The sequence below is a fragment of the Homo sapiens genome, chromosome 1, assembly GCF_000001405.40.
Source record: "Homo sapiens chromosome 1, GRCh38.p14 Primary Assembly".
Lineage (NCBI taxonomy): Eukaryota > Metazoa > Chordata > Mammalia > Primates > Hominidae > Homo > Homo sapiens.
In genome coordinates this window covers 226,349,482-226,352,273 of record NC_000001.11, presented here as the reverse complement: position 1 = coordinate 226,352,273, position 2,792 = coordinate 226,349,482, and the positions used below count along the sequence as shown (strand labels likewise).

Genomic DNA, 2,792 nt, shown 5'->3' with positions numbered 1-2,792 from the left:
TAACCCAAAGCCAGCAGTCAATACGCTTAGCAATTTGTACAAAGAAAAAATTGTTGCACCTCCAGGGACTCTTTTCGGGGGTGATGGAAATGTGCGTGTCGATTATGATGTCAAATCCATTTAGTCGCACACTTTAGATAGTTTACTGAAGATAAATCACACCTTAATAAATAAAAGTTGATTTTAAATGCCATTCAAAAAACAACATCAACTCCTGCCCCTCAGTGGTAAAAAAAATTAGAGCTAAGATGTCATAGGTGGACCAAGTTAGACTCTGCATAGTGAGTTGGTAGAAGTCATCAAAGGGAAGAGGGAGCCCAGCAGCTCTCCAGAGGCCATGCCCCTCCCACCTCAGGGGAGAGAAGATGGGACTTTCTGCTTCCACTTCCTGTTTCCCACAGACCTGATCCTCTGCTTCTTTCTTTTGGATACCCAGAGTCTTCGTCACTTTCTCATAAAGTTTCCTCTTTACTTGAGTCAGCCCAGCTGGGGGCCTTCTCCATCCAAGAGCCTTGACCATGTGTGCAGCATGCAGGGGACGGGGGCGGGGGGGGGGGTCTCACTATTTTGCCCACACTGTTCTCTCCTGGACTCAAGGGATCCTCCCACCTCAGCCTTCCGAAGTGCTATGAGCCACCACGCCCAGCCCTCATTCTATTTTATTTTTTTTTGAGAAGAGTCTCGTCCCGTTGCCCAGGCTGGAGTGCAGTAGCACAATCTTGGCTCACTGCAACATCCGCCTCCCAGGTTGAAGCGATTCTCCTGCCTCAGCCTCCCAAGTAGCTGGGACTACAGGTGCATGCCACCACACCCAGCTAATTTTTGTATTTTTGGTAGAAACAGGGTTTCACCATGTTGGCCAGGCTGATCTCGAACTCCTGACCTCAGGTGATCTGCCTGCCTCGGCCTCCCAAAGTGCTGGGATTATAGGCGTGAGCCACAGCGCCCGGCCCCTTGTTCTATTTTAAACCTTTCAACTACTGCACTTGCTTATCACACTATATGTACATACATTAATTTGATAAAATTTGGAAATTAGGCCAGGTGCTGTGGCTCACTCCTGTAATCCCAGCAGGAGTTCAAGACCAGCCTGGCCAACATGGTGAAACCCCATCTCCACTAAAAAGATACAAAAATTGGCGAGGCACATCATTGCCTGATGCATGATGCAATTTTGTGAGAAAAAAAAAAAATATATATATATATATATATGCATTTTAGAAAAAAGGATTGAGAAGAAAACCCCAAAATGGAAAAGTAGTAGTCTGTATGTGGTAAACATAAGAGTAATTTTAATCTTTGGGGTTTTTCACATTTTTTCACAATAAGCCTGTAAAATCAGATAATAAAAACCATCAACCTTTTAAATAGGATTGGGAAGTCTCTATTTTCCTGTCACACTCTCATTATCCCTACTGTTTAGCACACATAAGCACTGGGCTTGGGTTCCCCAAGTCCCTTCACTTTCCCGTTGTTAACTGTGGTGCCCTCAGCCCTGGATGGAAGGCACTGTGGCTGGGGACGTGGGCACCAGGGGTGGCTTCTGCTGGTGCCTCCTCTCCACAGCAAGCTTCTCCTGGTTCCTCCGGCTCCATAGCACTGGCCATATCGAGGTTGCCAAGCTCGTTGCCAGTGCCGGTTACCTCCAAGAAGCTCCTGGCCTTTACTCCCAGAACGCACACCTGAAAGACTGCTGCTGGCCTCGGTTTCTAAGGAAACTTTCTTCAGGCCTCATCCCCTGGCGGAACATAATTACCCGCTGGAGAGAAACAAAGCGGCACTTATTTTTCTGCTTGAATCACTTCCAAAGGGCTTATTGTCATTTCTGACTGGGACGTTGGGTTTTGTGGAGGAGAAGGTCCCCTTGGCCAAAGGTAGGCTCTGAGATAAGGAAATCAGGAAACCTGCCGGCTGACTGAAGATAAGGGAGCAGCGGCCTGCGGAGCAGGGCTCCCCATAAGAACGCTGTACAGTTCTGGCACCTCAGGAACTTGCCCACATTTGCTGATTGCTAACAGCTGCCTGCTCCCCGTAACAACAGGCAGGAAACCTCTAGAGTTGTAAAAGGGTCTGTTTATTTGCCTTTAATAGCCACGAGAAGGGGAAGCAGGGGAGTCTGGGCCCCATGCTGCAGCCCTGGAGGCGAAGCGTGGGTGGAGGCCTGGGTCAGGGCCTCCGGCAGAGGAGAGAAGGAGGCAGGATGGGCCTAAGGAGTGCAAAGTTCAGGGTGGAGTTCCCAGCACAACCCCACACCCTCAGTGAACCCCAAGAAGTCTTCCTTAGAACCCAGGATCTCGCCAGGTGCAGTGGCTCATGCTTAATCTCAACACTGGGAGGCTGAGGCAGGAAGATGGCTCGAGGCCAAGAATTTGAGACCAGCCTGGGTAACACAGCAAGACCTTGTCTCTACAAAAAATAAAAACATTTTAAAAATTAGCCGGAGGCCGGGCGCGGAGACTCACTTCTGTAATCCTAGCACTTTGGGAGCCCGAGGCAGGTGGATCACTTGAGCTCAGGAGTTCAAGACCAGCCTGGGCAACATAAGGAAACCCTGCCTCTACTAAAAATACCAAAAATTAGCTGGACGTAGTGGCAAGCACCTGTGAACCCAGCTACTTGGGAGGCTGAGGCACGAGAATCGCTTGAACCCGGGAGGCAGAGGTTGCAGTGAGCTGAGATCGCGCCACTGCACTCCAGCCTGGGCAACAGAGCGAGACTCCATCTAAAAAAGAAAAAAAAAAATTAGCCGGGCATGATGGTACAGGCCTTTAAGTTCCAGCTACTTAGGGGGC

The 2,792-nt window shown here is 49.3% G+C and overlaps 1 annotated feature.

Annotated features, from left to right (window-relative positions):
- Nucleotides 2,091-2,591: an enhancer, noted in NCBI's record as "H3K4me1 hESC enhancer chr1:226537384-226537884 (GRCh37/hg19 assembly coordinates)". NCBI's record gives its function as "activates a minimal SCP1, AML or CMV promoter by ChIP-STARR-seq in naive H9 embryonic stem cells {active_cell/tissue: H9 hESC(naive)}" and the evidence as "EXISTENCE:reporter gene assay evidence [ECO:0000049][PMID:30033119]".